Raw genomic sequence first — 22,315 nt, forward strand, 5'->3', positions numbered from 1 at the left:
CTATTCACATGTCAATGAGCAGTTAAGATTATTTCCAGAATTGGGCTATTATGGATAATGTTATTATCAACACTTGTGTATGAAAATTGTTTTCATTTTTCTTGGTAAATTACTAATAGTATAATTGCAGGATTACATGTTAAGTATACATTAAATTTTAAAGAAATTGCCAAATACTTTTCCAGAGTGGCAATGAATTTCATATTTCCACCAGCAATGCGTGAGAGTTCTAGTTGCTCTATAACCTTTCCAATATATAGTATTTCAGTTTCTTAAAAATTTAACCATTCTAGTAGGTGTGAGGTCATATCATATTGTAGTTTTAATCTACATTTTCTTAATAACTATTGATACTGAGCATCTTTTTATGTGTTTACTGGTCATTTGTATGTCTTCCTTTGCAAAGAATCTGTGGGGGTTTTTTTGCCCATTATCTATTAAGATCGTCTTATTATTGAGTTGTAAAAATTCTTTATAAATCTTGATAAAGCTCTCTATCAGATATATGTATTGCAAATACAAGTATTACAAAACTTAGTTCATACCTTGCCTTTTTATTTTCTAAATTATGTATTTGAAAAGTAGAACTTATTAATGTTAATAAAACATAATATATCAATTTCTTTTGTTCATGGTTTGTGCCTTTTGTGTCATCTCTATGAAATCTTTATCTTAAGGACACAAAAATTTCCCCTTATGTTTTCTTTTTTTCTTTTTCAGATGGAGTCTTGCTCTGTCACCCAGGCTGGAGTGCAATGGTGTGATCTCAGCTCACTGCAACCTCCACCTCCTGGGTTCAAGCGATTTTCCTGCCCCAGCCTCCCAAGTAGCTGGGATTACAGGTGTGCACCACCGTTCCCAGCCCCTTGTGTTTTTTTTTAGGAACTTCACTGTTTAAACTCTTACATTTATGTCTATGATCAGTTTTTAGTTAAATTTGTGTATAGTGTATAGTCAAAATTCATTTTTCCCCCATAAGGATATTCAGCTATTAAAGCACCATACATGGAAAAGGCTGTTCCCTCCCCCATTCAACTGTCTTGGCATCTTTGTGGAAAATCAATTGTCATATAGCTGTGGTTCTATTTCTGGTCTCTATCTATTTCATTATTTTGTATATATATCTTTATGGTAACCACACTGTCTTGCTTACTGTATTTTTATAGGACAACGTGAAGGAAGCAGAAAGGTTGCAAAGGAAAGAAAGAGGAAAATACTTTTCTGGCAGGAAATGATGCTAGTTTTCAAATGGGAAAAGTGAAAACATTAGCCCCATTTCAGAACAATAAAGTTCATCCCAATTTTTTTTAAGTAATCATTTAATATTTGCTCAGCATTTCTGTAGTCTATGTGTGTGGCATATATAATGGGCACAGTAGAAATATAGGTGGTTATTTCTATTGTCACAACTACTGACTATTATCTTGTTGCTCACCTCTTTTGTGGTCTTATATTGATAAATTTTAGAATTAATCAAATCAGTTAACATTTTCATGAGATAAAATTTTTTTCCAACTTGAGACTCTATTTAGAATGCAAGAAGTTCTTTGATAAAGTAATTTTTGCTAGTTATATCGGTTTTCTGTTTGTTTGTTTTTTGGCTTTTTGGGTTTTTTGGAGACAGGGAGACAGGGTCTCTCTCTGTTGACCAGGCTGAAGAGCAGTGGTGCAATTATGGCTCACTGCAGCCTCCACTTCCTGGGCTCAAGTAATCCTCCCACACCAGCCTCTCAAGTAGCTGGAACTACAGGTGAACACCACCATGCCCAGCTAATTTATTTATTTATTTATTTATTTCTGGAGAGACAGGTTATCTCTCTGTTTCCCAGGCTGGTTTCAAGCTCCTTGGCTCAGAGGATCCTCCCATCTCAGCCTCCCAAAGTGCTGGGATTATAGGCATAAGTCACTGTGTCTGGTCTAGTTATAAATGTAAAGAGTCCATTGAGATGTTTTATAAAAAATGTTTCAGTTAAACTGAGTAAGATATGAAAAACTGGAACCAACATTTATTGATCAGGTACTATTTGCTGCATGCTATACTTCGTATTTTATATAACAATCAAATATATAATTGCTACACTTTGTTGACTACCTATTATATTTCTGCTATTTTGCCACTTAATTCTTGCAACAATCCTGCAAGGTGGGTGTTACTATTCCCATTGTACATGTGTGTCCACTAAAGTTAAGTATTTGACCTACTAGCAAGCAGTGGAAATGCCTTAAAATCTCACCTGATTTGGTCTTTAATCCCAGAATGTCCCCACTTACCATATATCACATTAAGGAGACCCATGATGATAATCTATATATTACATGAACGTCAGTGCAAAATCTATAATTCAAGTGGCAGTTTGAGCATTTCAAACAGGTCCATTAGCTTCCCACCAGCTACATTAGATCAACATCAGTTTTATTTTCTCTGAATCAGAAAAAAATAATGAACTGAGGGCTAATGAAGTATAATCTGACAGAGTACTCCTTTAACTTCGTTGGGCTAACAATCTTCATCTAACTCAGTGAGACACACATAAGAGATAGTCTAAGAGGAGATGAGAGAGAATGAGCAAGGAAATAATAGTGACATATGTGGTATGCATTAGAGTTCTCAAAGAGGATAATCTTATCAATTAAGAAAATCCATTGAGGGCAGGTATCATGACTTCAGAGAAAGCAAGCATCTGAAGAGCTAAAGTATTCACCAAAGTATTACAGCTTGTAAGAAAGGGAGCTAGAAGGCTAAACTGGACACTTTGCACCAGCACTAGAGAGAAATAGGGCACCGAGGTAAAGCTGGAGAACAAAAGAGTGATTTGTGAGATGAGGGAGCAAGGGGGAGCAAGGGCAGGTGTAAGATCACTTAATTGTTCTTGCTGAAGCTGAGCAGCTCCCTGATCTTATATCCCTGCTCTTGCTACTCTGGCATGTACAGACAACTAATTCATTTTCTTTTATCTAAGACTTTTAAAGTACCTCTGAGAAAGACGGGGGTATACAAATCAAATTAGAATCACAATAGGTTGGGAACTGATCCAAGAACTTAATATGAGACCTAAATAATAGAAAGCAAAAATAGCAGAAAACTAAGGTAGTTTGCATTCCTATGTCTTATGAATAAAACTAAAATAATTACATTATCCCTTGTTCTTTAAAAGATTTGTGCTGTTAACATTTTGACATGAAGAAGTGGTCATTCAAAATAAGAGGCCAATGTGATCCACTGACCTTTGGTCTTTTCTTCAAATGACACTCATTTCCCCTTCTCCACCTGTACTACAGCACAGATTCTAAAGGGGGAAGAATTCAGTGGAATTAAACACAGCATCCACTGCCCTTTGGTCTTCTCTTTGAATGGCACTCATTTCCCCCTCCTCCACCTGTACTACAACACAGATTCTAAAGGGGGGAGAATTCAGTGGAATTAAACACAACACACACGCGTGCACACACACACACACACACACACACACACACAATCCTGCAGCTCTCAGAGGTAGATTTTATGTGGAGAAACCCCAATGTCAATTCTAATTTTATACCCTTCTCATAAGTACTTTGTTTACCATATAAGTTCTTTTAATGTAAGTGACTGATCAGGGCATCTCAAGTATAAGTGCTTTCAGGGGTCAGGCATTACCTAATTGTAAGAAGACTGGCAGGGAACTGGAACAGTTGTGCCTTATATAAAAGCATTCTAATTGTACCTGTTATAAAGGCTGTCTTTCATAGAGAAAATGCACCTATTTATAGGCCCAATTTGAGACCTTTGCATAAGATTAACTGTTTTGATCAATTGTCTGCCATATTTAACAGAAATCTAATTAGAAATTTTTAATATAAGACCTTCAATAAATAATTTGATTATAGAATTGTGTGTATGTGTATATTAGAAACTCATATTGAATCAGCGTAGCTGGTAGGAAGGAAGAGAAATATATCAATCACATTTATATATTCAACAGCAAACAATGAGACTGTATGATCTTTTGGATAGAATTGGCAAGTGGTTAAATCAAATTGTTAGGTTACTTATGTCTAAATGCTTAAACATCTATGCTTAAAGATTGGCCTTTTCCAGCTTTCCACTTGGGTATTTTTTGGTGCCAGGTGAAGCTCATTCAAGACACTCAGAGTTAACTGCATCTTAAAAGTTAAGTAAAACCTTCCTTGATGTATAAATATTTGACATACTCTGCTTTCCCAAGGATGATATCGTGTTTGTGATGGACTAGGAAATGGGGAAAACAGTTTTTGATTGCAGAAGACCAAGATTTTGTGAACTCAAATATTCTATCTAACCTATACATTTTTAAGAGCAGTAGGAAAAAAGTTATTCCAAATTCTAAATTTCAAATCAGAAAAGTCAGTAAACTTGTGGTTCAGGTGAAAGTTTTAGTGGTGTACAACCTCTGTTGATTTTCAGGTGTTAAAAGCAGTAGGAATATATATCATCTTGATACTTACTCCAGCTGCTGAATTTAAGAGATCATTGACCAGATACCTGATTTAAGAGATTCCGTATTTACAGACATACATGCTCTTCTCTTCTGCAGAGGAATGAGCTTTAAAAGCCAAGAGATATCAAGTGCATAACGCTCCATAAACCAATATTCTTAATAGACTAATCTGATTGTCAATCAGCTTCTACACCTATCTGAAGAATCATTTGACATTTTGTCTATATTCATTTATCAAGGGTCTAAAAATAGATTTAATTTAATAACATTAGTGTTCAACTTGTCCAACGTTCAGATCTTATTCCAGGGGGAACAATGCTTGTAGCAATGCTAAAATTAGGAAAGTTGTTTTATGTCGCATTAGTTAACATATGCAAGCTTACTTAACATGTGGACGGCAAATAAGTGTAATTACATTAAAACAAGGAGCTGTAGCACAGAAGCAATAAAAATAGACTAGGTTGTATTATTAATTCTTGTGTTAAGGGTTTTGAGCCATGTTGATTGGCCTGAATTTTTTGATTTTGTTATGGTACAAAGGGATTGTTTGAAGTAATTTGTCCCCGAGAGAGGCTCACAATCCCAAGCGGGTTTCAATTCAGCAAAGCAAATCTAATTTTGTTTGCTTTATGCAAACCAGAAGGGGCTGTGGTTCATTCTGTTTTCACTGGAGGGGAAAGGCGTACTAATGGGACCTGCTGAAATGCATGCATTGCAAACATCATACCCCTGCATATATTAAATTTAGCTATGTAATGCACTGTGTTCATCATCTCATTGTGTACACAGATACACTTTAGAACAAAGCCTTTTAATAGCGAGGGAACCTTACTACATTATGTCAATACTCTATTGTATTTATATTTAATGCCACCATTGGAATACCTACCCTTAGCTAGAGTATGCTCATATTTGTAATCATTTTGAATTTCAGCTGCTTCTTATGTGAAAGTGGGCTATATACTGGGGCTACTATGCTGGACTCTAAAGCCAACATCTGAAGATTAATTATACATACGTTGATGAAGATTTCCAATTTTTTCAGTCTCCACCCCTACACATATACTCTTTGTACACCTGAGTTAAATTGGAGAGATGCTTAGCACCTTGTTGAAAGAATAGGACACATCACAAATCCGAATATTCAGGCTGGAAGATAAATGGAGGATAATAATATCTGCACAACAGGTAATGCTAAAGACGGTCTCCATTCCTGTGACAAATTACCATCCTCCTACCTGCCCCCTCCCCCCAACTCGCTGTGGTCTTTCCTTGACTTGCCAGATACAGCTATGCTGCCAGATATATTTGATCAAATTCATCAAAATTAGAGGGTGCATGAGATGGGAAGGGAAACCAGCACATGATAGATGATAATGCAGTTATTGGCTAGGTGGATTTATTCACATAAAAATGGAATTATTTGTCAATTAAAATTGCATAATGACTGCATCTCCTGTCATGCCAGCACTGTTTTCAGTATGTTTTTATTTTGAAAACAGTTCCAATACTGCAAACAGACAGACACATCTCCAAACCCTTCAATTTGTCATTAGACATTTGGCGGCATGCCTATTTTGCTGTTAATTTTCCAAAACTACATTAATTTGCTGAATGACTTTTGTGAATCAGTTCACATAAAATTCAAGATGATACTTGTCATGTATCAAAGAGTGACTATTAAAAGCACAGGTTACTTGTAAAAAAAAACACTGTGTGAATCAGTTTGAATTTTTTGTTTTAAGTTCAAACGTGGGTTAGCATTAATGATTTTTTTCTTTCCTAATGTAAGTTGCTTAATGAAACATTACAAGGATAATCTTCCTATTGGTTTTTTTCTGCTTCTGCTTATCTGTTTCTTCAATTTACTAGTGTATACATTCTTAATTTGACTTGATTTGGAACAACCCCAGGCAGTTGAAATTCAATGGTGTAGCCAAAAATAATTGTTTAATATTGTGAAATAAGGGATTTGGTCCTCAAGGTAGACTGCATCAGACAGTTGTACAATTTAAACATTGGGAGAGATTACTCTGTGCACAGAACCAAATAGCAAGATCACATGATATTCTTAGAAGAATTTATTCCCTAACAAAAGAGGGAATTTGATTGAGAGATGCTATAACTGTTACCTGCCTCTTGTAGCACAACATCATGAAATATTATGGTCACCATCAGAAATATTGATTTATTTATATACATACTTTCTTGGTCCACAAAATATATTTACTTTAAAACAATAAAAACATTGCCTTGGTCTTGATATAAACATTATCCAATGAGCTGTGACTAGAGATATTCCAGGTCAAAGCACATTTTTTAATGTGTGTGTGTGTATGCATGCACGTGTGTGAGCATGCACATGTGTGTGTGTTGACCTTTGAGTAACATAGGTTTGAACTGCACAGGTCCACTTATATGTGGATTCCTTTTGCCTCTGCCACTCTTGAGTCAGCAAAAACAACCCCTCCTCTTCTTCTGCCACCTCTTTAGCCTACTTAAAGACAACAAAAAAGATGAAGACCTTTATAATAATCCACTTCCACTTAATAAATAGCAAAAATATTTTCTCTTTCTTAAGTTTTTAATAACATTTTCTTTTCTCTAGCTTACTTTATTGTAAGAATATAGTATATAATACATACACATATAAAATAGGTGTTAATATGCTCTTTGTGTTATTAGTAAGGCTTCCAATAAATATTAGGCCTTTAGTAGTCAATTTTGGGAGGATCCAAAATTTTACATGGAATTTTAACTGTGAAGGAGATCAATATCCCTAACCTCCACGTTGCTCAGTGATCAATTGTATATGTGTTCGTGTGTGTGTGTTTGTGTGTGTGTATATATATATCTTTATATATGTATGTATAGTATATGTACACAAATAGGAGATATATGCCTAGTGTGTGTGTATATATATGCACACACTTATACATATATATCTATATGCATGTATTATAGTGTACTCTGTGTCTATATAACCCTTGATACTTTATGGATGTTTTTGTTATGATTACCTAAATAAATTATGAATTATTATAATGTAATTGGCCTAATGCAGCCATAGGGGCTGAATTAGAGAGAAAATAATTATATGAACCCCTAGCGAGTTCAAACCTGCAACAAATACCATAAGAAATCATGTCACTTTGAGCTGTAAGCCTAGAAAGATATATGTGGCAAAAAAAAAAAAAAAAAGAAAGAAAAAAAAAAGCAGTACAGGATGATACCCTCTATTTCCCAAACTTGTGTACCTTATCCTGGTCTACCTCCTCAGTATGATAACAGGGAGCTTGGGAGGATGAGAAGAGTGGAAAAAGTGATGGCTAAAGTCCTCCTGCTGTGCTACACTGTTGTTCCATTACTGCCAATTCAGGATGAATCTATACCACATTTGGTAAGACTGACAAATATCACATCAGTGAGAGTGAATATAAATGTTTCCTAATAAACCAACTCATCGCAATAATAAACATCTTCCTAGATTAAGCTCTAATATTTAAAAAACAATTGGAGATGTCAGAATCGAGGAATTTAATTTCCTAGTGTGCTTTCCTAGAAGGCAGCACAACATGCTCACTCTACCCCAGTGCACTGGTAAGTCCTGCACAGACATTTCTTCTTAACCCTGAAGTACTGAAGGCAGACCCTGCCCAAATTCCTGTTCAGGTAAGCAGTCTAAGTTTGCATGGGAAGTTATGTCTGTTCTCAGAGAGCTTCCAGCCACAGCAGTATGCCGATGAATGTTTAAAAATCAGCTCTCTTGGGGAAAAAAATAAAAGCAATAACCCTGGTTTGTAATGTGGGCTAATTCCAAGCTACCAATGTGATACCACTGAATGCAGAGTGGGGAACAGGCACGAAGTATCATCATTGCATAGAATAACCACTCATGTAGAGACAATAGATGCAAATAACTTCAAAAGCACAGATTATAGCAAAATGTAGTAAGATAAAAAGCAATAAATTTGGAGTGTTGCTGTTATTTTTAATATAACTTATTGAATTTTAAGATTAAATACTTTTTAAAAATTAACTGTTAATACTGGCTGTATATAAAAACAGCTTGCAAAATCCTAAAAATTTGATAGTCAGCTCTTATGAGTTGGTTAAGATGGCCTCAATACACAACTGCCTCCATCCAATCTCACACACACAGCACACAATTAGCTTCCTGGTTCATTAGGATCTGCCCAGAGTTATGCCTCATCAAATGTGGAAATATTTGTCCAGGCAATAAGCAAAATAGCTTCTTGCTGATCAATTGCTCTTAATATGGTTGTGTAGTACTGTCTCCACCTGTATTTTCAGTGGTGCATTCCTTTTTCTTGCCATCGAAGTCCCTGGTTGGACCTTTATTTTATTCAACTGCATGGGGAACATAGCCTCTGTCTGCATTCCTTTGTCTAGGAATAGTGATTCTGCATTCACACATAAAGAAGAAGAGAAAGAGCTTCTATACAATGGTGTGGAGTGCTATGAAATTTTACTGACACAAGTCTGGGAAGACTGCCTGATCTGTATTTGGAACAATGCTATTTTGTTTAATTTGATATATGTGTGGGCTTTTTATTCAAATAGAGTTGAACAGTTTGTTCCAGTGGGGGAAAAAAGGGCTGCTTGTTACAGAAAGGTTATTTATCGTTCACTATAACACTTGGCATTCTGAAGAAAATTGTAAGGATTCTCCTTTTGGGGGCTGTATGCTGCTATCCTAGCCTCTGTACAAAGAGATAAAGCAAAAGTTGAAGGAAAGATCCTTGGAGGCTGATATGGGGCATTGTTTTAGATGCCCTCAAATGAAGGTGCTTCTCAGCCTTTAAAAATATTCAGCTACCCATTCCATCACTCATTTTTGCAGCTAATTGGACATTTTAAAGTATGAATTCCCACTGCTTCAAAAGATTCAATGCCAACATCAATTAACACCTTCTGGGGGAAAAGTATATAGAAGAAGAGCTAAAAAAATCTTAGCAGTGTAAGCACAATTGAACTTTGCTATCCCAGGCAATATTTTTATTCAACATTGCTCTAAAATGCTCATTTTTACACTGTAATTGCAACTCTTTCTCTTGTTTACTTCCTTGGTCTCAACTCAACTACTGTCCATTCAAACTCAGTTCAACTTTGATTCATTTATAATCAATTTCAGCTTCTACAGATTACCATACCAGTGACTCACACTGTAGGAGAGAAACATATACTATAGAATTCAGATGCTGTAGACTTTTCTAAGATCAATAAAAATGAAAAAAATCAATTATATGGAAAGACTGTAACCACATGTCATTTACTTTTCTTTTCATTCAACAAATATTCGCTAACCATATACAATTTGGGGACACTATGATACACGACTAAATCTTTTTAAAATAACGTTGTCTATTTGAAAACTTAATAGATTATAATGCAAGTAAAGTCAAATTGAAATTCTTCCATATCTTTTCACTGGTGGTCCACTAAACCTGGACAGCCAACTCGCATTTATGAATTATCTTATCCTTGATCATTTTACCATGTCATTCTCCTTTCACAGCTGTCCCCAGCCTTTCTGAAATGTGTTTGTCAGCTAGAGGCCGTATGTGCCACTATGTTTTACCACTTCCACCACCAGACTCGGTGGCCTTCTAGAACTTCAGTAAACATTTATCAGATTGAACAGTACCCTCCCCTTTCCATGTTCATTAAAACATATATGAAATGAGCATGTTCAACCACAACATTTAATACTATGTGATTCAACAAATTAAGGATTAAGAAACAATCACTTCCCCTGGGACCAAAGATCATCAAAGATCACCTAGTGGACAGGGATCAGGAAAAAGTGGAGGTAGACATTTAATTGGACCTTAAAGGATGATGGAAATGCTAGAACTTAAATAAGAAAATATGCATAGGATATTTAGCATAATTCAGCAGAAGTTGTTATTAAAGAGATTTGGGTATTCTTCCAAACTATAATCCTAAATTATAGGAGCTACATAGGATTACTCTAAACATAACCTACAAAGCTGCCCTAATGTCTATTAATTCTCTTCCTGGCTTGCAGACACTGAAAGTACTCAATGAGAGAGGTTTCTAGCAGGAGGAGACATTGAAGCCAGGTCTTATAGGTGGAGAAGAGGAGGAGAATATACCTATAAAAGCATGAACAAGCCGGGCACTGTGGCTCACGCCTGTAATCCCAGCACTTTGGGAGGCTGAGGCTGGCGGATCACTTAAGATCAGGAGTTTGAGACCAGCCTGGCCAACATGGTGAAACCCTGCCTCTACTAAAAATACGAAAGTCAGCTGGGCGTGGTGGTGGGCACCTGTAATCCCAGCTACTAGGGAGGTTGAAGCAGGAGAATCGCTTGAACCTAGGAGGTGGAGGTTGCAGTGAGCCGAGATCGCACCATCGTACTCCAACCTAGGCAACAAGAGCAAAGCTCCGTCTCAAAAAAAAAAAAAAAAAAAAAAAAAAAGCATGAATAAAGTGTGATGGAGAGGAATGTGAAGTCATCTTCCATGAAGAAGGTAAAGATTAGTTAGGTAGAAACAGAAGGACCATTTGTCATAATTAATAATAAAGTGTCATTTATTGAGCACCTATTTTGTGCTAGGCATGATGGTAAGTATTATACATGCTTATCACTATCTTAAAAAAAAAAAACTGTGGGAGTGCAAATGTTTAAGAGGAAACTGAGCCTCCAATAATTACACCATACACCTAATGTCAGGTTAGTGGGTTTGGGATGGTGAGAGAATGGAGGATTTTAAACAGAATGACAAGTAGTTTGAATTTAATTTTACAGGGGAGACACAAAGGAAACAGATTCCAGGAAGCCATGGTACAGAGAGAAAGATTTCACGCCCTGGTTAGAAGGTCCCTGAGGTAGCCTAGGTTAGAGTGAAAAATGCCTGAATGTTGAAGTTCGCTGTGGATTTGAAAAGGAAAAACAAATCTAAGAGGAATGTGAGAGAAGGTATTAAAAAGTACTTGACAACATGGTTTCAGGATGAACAGAATAAAAGAGGATAGGAATAGAAGGTTTATCATGTGTCCATGATGTGAAATTTGTTCATTCTAACTGTAAAATGTATTGGAAGTCTTGTACATTAATGATTATAACAAATTTGACTATTCTTGGGTCAAATATCATTTCTCTTCTCACATCATTAATATTTTCAGTTGTGTGGAAACTACCAATCCTTCCACCCTTCTTTTATCCCAAGAACTTGTAATGAATTATAAGTAAGATCAATAATTATGAACTGCTAAAAGGAAAACAAACTGAATAGATTAATTTGGCAGGAACACATGCTGTATGGCTTTGAAAGCCTGTGGAGTCTTTGAGGGATCTTGGGCCAAAAGGAAGGGCATATGCCAGACAAATGAGACTCTATTCTAAGCATAGTTCACACGGGAGGGCTTAAAAAAACAGACAAAGAAGCCTGGAAAGGAAAACGGAGAAAACAGTGGGGAACATAGAGATACAGAAGGTCAGGGCACATAGAACCTAGGGGAAAGAGAGATGCAATCGATGTGATGAAAGACAGACTTCTGGAATATTTGGAGCAGCACAGAGAAAATGAGCTTAAGAATGCTCCACTACTAGGCTACATGGGAGAACATGGAAAAAGGATTGAATAACTAGAATAAATTGGTGGTCAGAAAATAATGCTGGACTACGGTATTAGCAGTAGTGATCGAATGGCCATAAGCTCCACAATTAAGTGTCTGTCATCTGTGTGTGGAAGTGTCCTTCATACAACAACTCTCATTTTAAGATCTTAAAAAATTTGAACACATTCAGACCATCATTAACTCTCAAAATATACTCAAGGAGTGAGTACTAGAGAGGCAATTACTGTTCATTGTAGCTGTTCTTACTTATATCACAAGTGTTCTTGTATTTCAGGGTACCACCAGGAGTCCAGGTTCCCTTGCTCCTGCTCCAGAGCTTCATTCACCAAATATGAGGTCACTCTCACAGGAAACAAGTCCGTCATCTAAAGCTCCAAAGATCAATGAGGTGGTGCTTATAACATTATTCGAATTCCCAGATCTCCATCCAGGCATGAAAACACATGTTCTCCATAGCTTCAGTGATAATATGTAAAAGATGTACAAAGTCAAGAGAAGATGTGCAAAGTAAGTCACGACAGAAAGAAAGTAACTCTGAAATTACAAGGTCCAGAAATTTTACATTTTCATCTTTATGACACTGAATTATGAGAAGCATGCTTAAAATACAATTAAGCAAAGTTAAATACATGGTAGATTCTACTGTCTTCCCTACAGGGCAGAGTCAGTGAAAGGAACTGATTAAAATGTTAACCCTTCTGATTGATTCAAGAGTTGATGACACTATGTCTACCCAAATGAGTTTGAAAGCACTTGACTAGCCCAATCCATATATTGGATGATAGAACTTGTTTTGTAAGTGACGAAAAGAAAGATTGGTTATTTTACGTAAATCAACATCACTATGGGACTTATCAGGTAAACTCTTCATGGACATACTCTCCTTAGACTAGAACCTTTTCATTTCTCTTTTTTTTCATTCTTTTACTTTTATTTTTCTTTCCTTTTTTTTTTTTCTAGATGAAGAGTGAAGTCATGTATAGATTACAACATAAATTCTTCCCCACACTTGCAATGAGGACATAGGGCCTGTTTTGTAGGAAAAAAAAAAAAGAATTAGTCTCTTTCAATGTGCTTACTTTTTGCAGTAACCAGAACCATGCCCGCATGCCACTGTGCCACAGTCTGCCAAAGGAACTCCAGTATAATTGCCAGTCAGTTCCCCCATAAATAAATCTTCCAAAACAATGAGTCATGCATGTAAATATTGTCCTTGCGGAGCATATTTATTGCGTGTTGATGCTGATTGTTTAAAAAGAGGTTATGGTTCAATAAATTGAACACCTGAGCTGAGCGCTTGTAGGATGAAATTGAGAGACAGGCAGATCAATTTAGACTCACTTCTACTTTTCGATCTGTTTAATAGATTTTTAAAATGACACTTAGAGCCCCATGGAGGCAGCAGCACTTCACATCCTCCCTCAGACACACCTCATCCGGCACTCCCAGGCTCGCTGCACTTGGAAAAGCTGATGATCCTGTGAGCAGAAATTCGCAGAACATGCTCTTGGCCTTCTGCTCTCAGCTGAACCTGGCTCATTTATTCAGCTGGTATTGCGAGTTTGGGGGCATGACAGTACATCTGACCCCTTTGGGGTAAAATTTGATCTGGCATTTCATTTCAAGGGCTCAGCCACTGGTCTGTCAAATCTTCATTTTGCGGGTGCCCACTAGAACTGCTGATGCTTGTCTCTAACTCCCTCGGCTTTCATCTTTCACTGGCAATAAACATGTCACCCTGCTGAGGTGAAACACAATCTGGAATTAAATTTACTGCATATAAAATATAGTGCCCTCTTTATTGGTTCAAATACTTGTCACTCATAATTTATTTGCCCGTGTATGGCCTTCATGCAGGGAGAAAAGTGCTGCAAACAGAGAGGGGCTTTGGTGTTCATTGTTGCTGGGATCTTTTTCACTTTTCATTCATTCCCATCCTTGGTCCTAAAATCCCACTTACTGGCTTGGGCTAATCTGTTTTCCATGAAGCACCTCAAATAAAACTGGAACCCTTTGCCAAAGTGTGGTGAGCATGTCGCTGAGAGCATTGGCGCCGGGCTTGTTGGCTGAGCTACTGCGTGTTTGCTAGGAAGTGGCAACAGCATGGCACCTGGTATGCCCTCCAGTGAGCAAACCCCAAATTCAAACTGGGGAAAAGGGAGGAGGGATTTAGTCCTCGTGAGTTTCAATCTCCCACTTGCCATGCCTTCCCTTCTGGCACTCAACTTTTTCGTGATTTATTCCAAATACTGTCGATCAGCTTTAACTAATACAGTTCTTGTATGAAGCACCTCTCTAATCTCTTCAAACACAGATGTGGAAGCACGGCTTAGAGCATGGAGGCCAACAAAACCCTCTGCCTGTACCAGTGATTAGCTTTGATTGACACAGAACCCTTATGCTCTCCTAGGCATCCTCTCACACCCATAAATGATTGTTCTAAAAATGAGACGCACAGGGTACGATGGGCACCAGCTTCAATAAATTTGCGGTGCAACCATACTAGCAGATAACGCGTAAACCATACAACACTAGATACATGACATTGCCCCCGCCGCCTTCCAATCCTATTTCTTTTTATCACTTTTAGGTCTGTCTCTTTATAGAAAAGGTTTTAGTGAACATTAATTTCTCATTTAGAATTGTTAAAACATGCAAAGATGTATGTTTTATCTTTCCCTTCTGTTTTCAACATTATATGGTCCCAGATATAAACATTTATAGAAACAGAAATGTTGGGACTTCTATGTGTTTTCAACTTGCTTTTAAATATGAGCCCAAAATTTGAATTTAACCCTCCAGTATTATTCAGGATCACCAGAAAGGGGTACATGTCAGTGACACAAATCCAGATTCCCACAGACTATTCAAATTACTTTAAAAACTTATTAATTTCAGTGACATATACTATGTTTTTGCTTTTATTAATTCTGCCATCTTTTCTCATGCTGAGTTGTGAGACCTGAGAAACTTCCCCACTTGTCCTGATTGTTTGGGACTGTATCATAAAGTGACAGTGGGAAAGATATAATCTTCTCCATAGGAAGAATGTCCTTTGCGGGTAGAAGCGCTCTACAGACTCCAGGTAATTCCTGCTGCCTCAAAGGTGGTCCTCGGGGTTTATGTTAAATCTCCAGTGATTCTCCCAGATTGTCTCAGATCTTAAACTTCTGGTGGTAAAGTTTTCCAGAGTTAGAGGATGTCATTACTGTCTTCCCATCCCCAGAAAACAGTCACTTTGACTGGGCATGGATATGAAATGTCTCTCTCTGCCTGCCTTTTCCAAGCAGCAGTGTAAGTGAAGAGAGAGACAGAATAGGAATTCTTGCTCCAACCAGCTATGAAATGCCTAATTCTATTTGCATCTGCACACATATGCAGTTAGATGTTTTATTCATTACTTACACACTTACTTCCAAAAGAAACTTATGAAAAGAAAAAGAAAAAGCATATTAGTTTTTAAGATTTCAAAATAACCTAAGTTAAACATTGATTTTCCAAATGTTTTCTAAAACTTTTTTAAATAAGTTATATATGTAGAAGGAGAATAATTAAAGGAACATATTAATATTTTAGAAAGTATCTCACCTCCTAATGAGTTTTAGGATTATAGAAACAGAGTAGAAAAATAATTTATCTCATTTCATTTTAAGCCTGAGGAAACTGAGAGCCAGATAGTTTAAGTGACTGACCCAAGATTATCCAGTTAGTAAACAGAAGAGTAAATAATAAAATCAGGTTTTTGTCCAACACTATGCTCAGTATCTACTAGTTGCCGGCATACAATAAAGTCTCACTAAATAACTGTTGAATGAAGAAATAAATGCACACCAAGGTCCCCAGACCTTAGAAGTTGAGACTGATCCCAGCTCTACCCTCTCTGGGTGAACGTACCAGTACACACCTAATCAGAGCTGCTTGTACAAGACCTGTGAAAAGTAAGAGCAAAAATTCTGCTCTTTGTAAAAACCTCAGAAAGTACTTTTTTTGTACTTTTTAAACATCAATTAATCCTATCCCAGGGTGAAAGTTATACTCTCTATTCCTTTTAAATTAAGAATTTAATGATTATTTCAAGAAATTCAATGGACTTTGCATTCCAGACAGTGTTTGACAGAGTGATTTTGCTTCTACATGCACTGTTCTACAACAATCCTGCTATATTCTTACTTCCTTCATAGTTGGAGAACATGAGGCTCAGAGAGTAAAAATGACTTCCCAGAATTCACATAAAGTCTAAGGCAAAGCCCAATTTTGAACCAGGCTTGTTAACTCACAATCTAGGGCACTGTGAATGGCACAAGGCTCCTGAAAAGGAATGACATCTCTGTTTTAAAGAACTAGAGGTATAAAGACTAATTACACCAAGTAGGAATTTAATTTCTTAGTTAATTTTTCAACAATTCAATGGATATATTAGCAATTTTTATCATTCTTTAACCATTTGCCAAGTGAGTGTCTGATAACTGTACATTATTATTTGATTTTCTAATGCTTTTGGACATCCTTGGGAGAAAAAAAAACAGAAAAAAGGAAAAATTCAAGCCACTGTGTCATTACCATTTATAAAATTTCGCTAGATATTTTAGAATGTCTGCTTATCACTCACTGTAAGATTATATGCGACCAATAAAATAATCAGTTTTCTACAGCACTTGTCATAATAATTTTCTCTTCAAGTGATAGTACACATTTTTGCTTTTATTTTGGAGTATTTTTGTTGTATTGTATTTGCATTCTTTCGGTTTTATTTATCGTTTTATTGAAATGTAAAATCTACCACATAAGCACCAATAAAATCAAATGTGAAAATACACATCTTTGAGTTTTTGTTATGTGATTGTATCTGAGTATATTATTCCCAATGTAATAAGAACTATCCTATACGTACAAGTCCAAACTTCTATCTGAAGCATAAAATATATTATATTGTAAAATCTATTAAATATGTTCTTTAAAATGGCTATAATATCTCTTGCTATGTACATGAAGTACATTTATGTCCCCTAAACTTTAAAACAGTTTAGATCAGAATAAGAACTAGGGATTTCAGAATGGCCAGCATATGTGTATTGGATAATCTACAGTATTTGTGTGAATAGTATTGCCCTGGGAGGGAAAAAAAAGAGAGAAAAGCAGCTGATTTATGACTAAGCCTTTTAAAATGTCTCAGCATTTAAGGAATTAGAGGAGAAAGAGGGTATCATGATGGAGACAGACCCAAACGTATGAATGGAAATTAAGGGAAGAGAATGTTTTAAGTGAAGGAAGATATCGACAAAGGCAAATGCAACAGTGGAATTCCTCATGACAAGGATTGATAGTCCTTTAATTTGGCAAGAATGAAGTTTAGCTTGAACCTACAAGAGCTTCTCTGTGAAGCAGGGAAGATGGAATTCAGATAGTGGTGAGTTGAGGAATGAACAGAAACTGAAGAAATTGGATAAATACAGATATTTGCTTGGCCGGATAAATATTACATAATACTATAAGTCTTTGCAAATGTGTTTTTAAAAAATGTCTTTCTGTAAATAATAATGTATGTTAATTTGTAGAAAGTTTGGAGGCTATGAGAAAGTGTGAAGAATAAAATTAATCTAAAATCCCATGACTCAGAGAATACTAAAGTTTTGTTCTATTTGCTTCAAGACTTTGTTCTATGCAATTTTTTTGATGTTGAGTTCATTCTACATATACAGCTCTGTATTCCTTTCCACTTGTCACTATTTTGTACATTTATCAATGACTGTTTTAGAATGCATAAATTTAGTGTATTTTTTTAGCTTCATGAGAAAAAATCCTCTAGTGAGGAATCATTGAAGGGACAAGTAAAAGAGATAAACCACTGGATTGATGTCCTACAGGTGATGAAAGAAAATTGATCAGGAACATGGAAGAAGGAAATAAGAAATGCACCAACAGGGATACATTTGTGAAGGGGAGTCAGAGGCTGAGTGAATTTGCACACGTTTTAAATGGCTAAGAATTGAACCACCCGTATTTAACTAAGTATCTTGACTATCAGGAAGTAAACACATTGTCAGCTTGAACACAGTGCCAACTTGAAACTGAAAACCAGGAAATTATAATGTCAGTAATCTGCATGGTAGTGGTTTTCCCTCCAGCTGCTCTCAGAACTATGTTTTTTCAACATATAATGGTTCTGGGCAATTTCTTTACCTTTCTCCCTACTTACGTATCAAATATATTTTCCTTACCCCCCTTTAGTAACTCTGCTGAAGCAAATCTAAAATTGATCATAGAGAGCAGGAACTATTTTGTGCCTAAAATCAGCCTCACAATATATGTGAGATTAATCTTATTTTGGGATCTCCCCAAAAGACTGTATCTGTTTCATCTCATAACATCTTTGTAGCAGGTATGCTGTTTCAGAAAGGGGCTTATTTTCTTTATATTTTCTTTACAGCAAAGGTAAAAATTATATTTATACAACTTTGAGGTTAAAAATCTATTCATTTATTTATAATTAGTTCTAGTCTAATAAAGCAGGATTGAGGATTGTAAAGAATGTTTTTCCCAAAGCTTTTCTATTTAACTTGAGCACCACTCAATCATAATTTCTTGTCTTTTCTCATTGCCTTGTTTTCTTATGCAAGTGTTAAAACTCTCCATCAGTCTTCATGAGAAACAGTTTTCTTTCTTTCTTTCTTTCTTTCTTTCTTTCTTTCTTTCTTTCTTTCTTTCTCTCTTTCTTTTTCTTTCCTTCTTTCTTTCTTTCTTTCTTCTTCTCTCTCTCTCTCTTTCTTTCTTTCTTGGCAGCATTCTGTCAATGTTTTAAAGTTCTCAGATTCAGGCTGCTTAACACAGTTAGGGTATGTCTGATTCTAAAAGCAGGTACCAGCCCCAGAAGATAAGTCTTTTTCAGTGGCTAGTCATACTGTTTAATAAAAGATGATGCATTATGTCAGGAATTGATATGGTTAGGATACCAAATTTGTACCAGAATATGAGCTTTCCATCATTTAAGTTTACCAATATCCCAAGGAAGAGTTGAGATGATTACAAACATCTTCACTGTATTTGCAGCCAATATATAGTAGATGGTACTGTATAGACAGTTTATATTTAGGGGCATTTGCATTTTCATCTATAATGTAGAAAACTGGATGTGTAGTCCATATCTAGATTCTTCAAATGGCAGACCATAATCATCCTTTTTCAGCCTTTATAATATCTGTTGTCAGGCTCTTCTGAGAGACTTCTAATAGGGTCTTGGCAAAATGCCGCAGGCAAACGCTTCCACTGCAGCTGATTCATAAATGCCTTTGGGGTTGTATTACAAATCCAGCAACCCCTGAGGTTTGATGGGAAGGTCTGCCAAGGTTCAACTGGGATTGCCTATTAGCCCACTGAACTCCCCTGAGCCCTAGAGACTCAAGAGTGGGTTTGATCCAAGCAACTTGGTGAGGAGAGATTCATTGTCACTGCTGGGAAGGTAGGTTATGCACATTTCAACCTAGGAAGGCTGATTTGAGCCAAACACTGTCACATCCACTTCTTTCTGCCTGTTGATATAGTACAAAAGGCTACAATCGAAATTTAAGTGATAAAAGTCATTAAAGGAAACAATGGCTTTTGATGTGATCTTATTTCTTTCTTCATATGTAAAAAAGATGTCCATGATTGACATAGAATGAATACTTGATTTCCTTTTTCCCATTATTCCTCAGATTGAGAGAGAGAGGGAGTGTGTAAGGTTCACATGTGAAGGGGTGATGCCTATTTTGTTCACTATTGTGTTCATAAAGATTAGAGCAGGGAATAAATGATAATGATTGTGGAATGAATGGTTATATTAGTGACTGCCTAGAAAGAGAAATAGATTAAAGGTGTAGGCCTTTGGACAGTTGCTCATGTTGCCAATCTATGTGGGCGCTAACACATTACCAAGATGATATGAATCAAATTTAATGATCAGAAGTTTTCTCAAGTGCAGGAATAAATGTAGTCAATGTGGTGAAGGATAGGATGCCCCCTTCTAAAGAGGCAAGCTCAAAGAACAGCAAAAGGCCATCAAGGATGTGGATTGGGATACCTGCAGGGAAACATTCTGGCATGGAATATGAAATATGGGACAAGAGAAGAATTACTCTGGACAATGGTGGAGTGGTTGGACCCTTTCTCCAGGTGTCCTGCTTCATCACCCTCTCTGTGCAAAGCTAACTCTCTGTGTAAGCACATAAGAAGAGGAGCTCATGTGGAGAGGTAAGAAATAACATTTTTATGCTTATAGTGATAAAGAGGAGAAACTGTTAGCTCTAGTTTCTTTGTGTACAGCATTGCATTCTGCCCTAATAGTTCTATTTTTCAAACAAGGTTAATACACACTTCTATTTTCCTTTCTACTTGCAAGATTTCCTTTTAGTGGAATCATATTTGTCCCCAGCTTCTTAGAACACTTTTAATTCTCTCACAGTCTTCCTCCCACTTGCCACCTCCTGATTTTTGTTTGTCTTCACATAACTGTTTCTTAACTTCTCTTAAGTCCACTAGCCACAATTTACTAAAGACCTAAGAAAAATTACTTAACCTTTTTATTTAGCCTCAGTTTTCTCAACTGTAACATTAGATTAATAATAGCCCATTTGCAAGGTTGTGCTGATAATACAATAATGTTTTTAAAAATCTTAAGTAAGATATCAGCAAAATGGTGAAATAAGGAGTTGCCCCCTTTAAATATCCAAAGCAGCAATAATTTGGCAGCTATCCATAAACAAAAGTGCACTGGCAGGAGCTACTCTTGTATGCACCCTGAGACAGACCCATTGAAATTAGTTTGGCTGGACATCTTAACACTCCCCTGTGATTCAGATTCATCGTCTCTCAACCACAGTGTGGGGTCAGTCATGCCTATCCAGTGAACTAATGGGAGTCCTTCTCAGGACTTAATAGGAGCCACACCCATGTATGCATCTGGTAACAGGCCTGGCATCTGCACACCCAACTGCAGACCCTGCTCCAGCATCAGCTGTACTGACCAAGGTCCTGAAAGCAGTGCCATCTCTTGAGAGACCAGGTAGGATCCATGACTTTCAAACTTCTGGTAATAGGCCTGCCAATTGTAGACTCTACTGAAGACCTAGGAGCAACCATGTGATCCAGCTATATGTGCACTCTACTGCTATCATAGAGGTCAATCTCATTAGCCCACAGGGCCAACAGGGGAAGTTATTTATCATCCAAAACCAATCTATGAAGACTTCAAGGGATGTTTACCTTCTTCAAACGCACATACACTAACACAAAACTACACAGGTTATGAAGAATCAAGCAAATATGTCACTCCCAAAGGAAACTTATAAAACTCCAATAATCAACCCCCCAAAAATAAAAATCTAAGGATTACCTAATGAATAGTTCAAAACAGTCAACTCAAAGAAGCTCAGTGAGACACAAGAGCATATGGATCAACAACTAAACAAGACTGGGTAAATAATAGATGAATGAAGTGAGAAGGTTAATAGGAAAAAAATAGAAAACATAAAAAATGAAACAGAAATCCTAGAGCTGAAGAATACAATAACAGAAACAGAATATTCAATAGAAAGCTTCAACAGCAGATTTGAGCATGCAGAGCAAAGTATCAATGAGAAGGCAGGTCATTTGAAATTAGTAGGTTAGAGGAACAGAAAGAATGAAAAAATGTGAAGAAAGTGTATGAGACCTATGGGATACTATCAAATGAACAAATATATATATTATGGGGGTCTCAGAAAGATAAGAAAAAAAGGAGGGCAGAAAGCTTATTTCAAGTAATAATGGCTGAAAATGTTCCAAATTTAGGGAGGGATTTATGAACCACAAACATCCTCAAGTAAGATCCATTCAGAGAAGATAATCCTAAGACACATTATAATGAAATTGTCAATATTCAAAGACAAGGCAAATTTTGGAAGCAGCAAAAGAAAAAAGACTCGACACCTACAAGTAAGCCTTTGTAAGATTATCTGATTTCACAGTAGAAACCTTGTAGGCCATGAGGAAATATAATGATATATTAAAAGTACCAGGGAAAAAAAGAACTGCCAAATAAGCTGGCTATAGTATTATTTTGTATTGAGAGAGATTATCACCACTCTATCTATTTTACCAGAAATGTTAAATGGAGTTGTTTAAGCTGAAATAAAAGGATGCTAAGTAACAACATAAAAATATAAGACTCACCAGTAAAGGTAAATGTATATCCAAATTCAGAATGCTTTAATGC

At 36.4% G+C, this 22,315-nt stretch overlaps 1 annotated feature.

The window, feature by feature from the left end:
* Positions 4,197-6,679: an enhancer, noted in NCBI's record as "VISTA enhancer hs1081". NCBI's record gives its function as "enhancer in: hindbrain (rhombencephalon)[6/9]" and the evidence as "EXISTENCE:transgenic organism evidence [ECO:0001131][PMID:17130149]".

Source organism: Homo sapiens, chromosome 6 (genome assembly GCF_000001405.40).
Source record: "Homo sapiens chromosome 6, GRCh38.p14 Primary Assembly".
Classification (NCBI taxonomy): domain Eukaryota; kingdom Metazoa; phylum Chordata; class Mammalia; order Primates; family Hominidae; genus Homo; species Homo sapiens.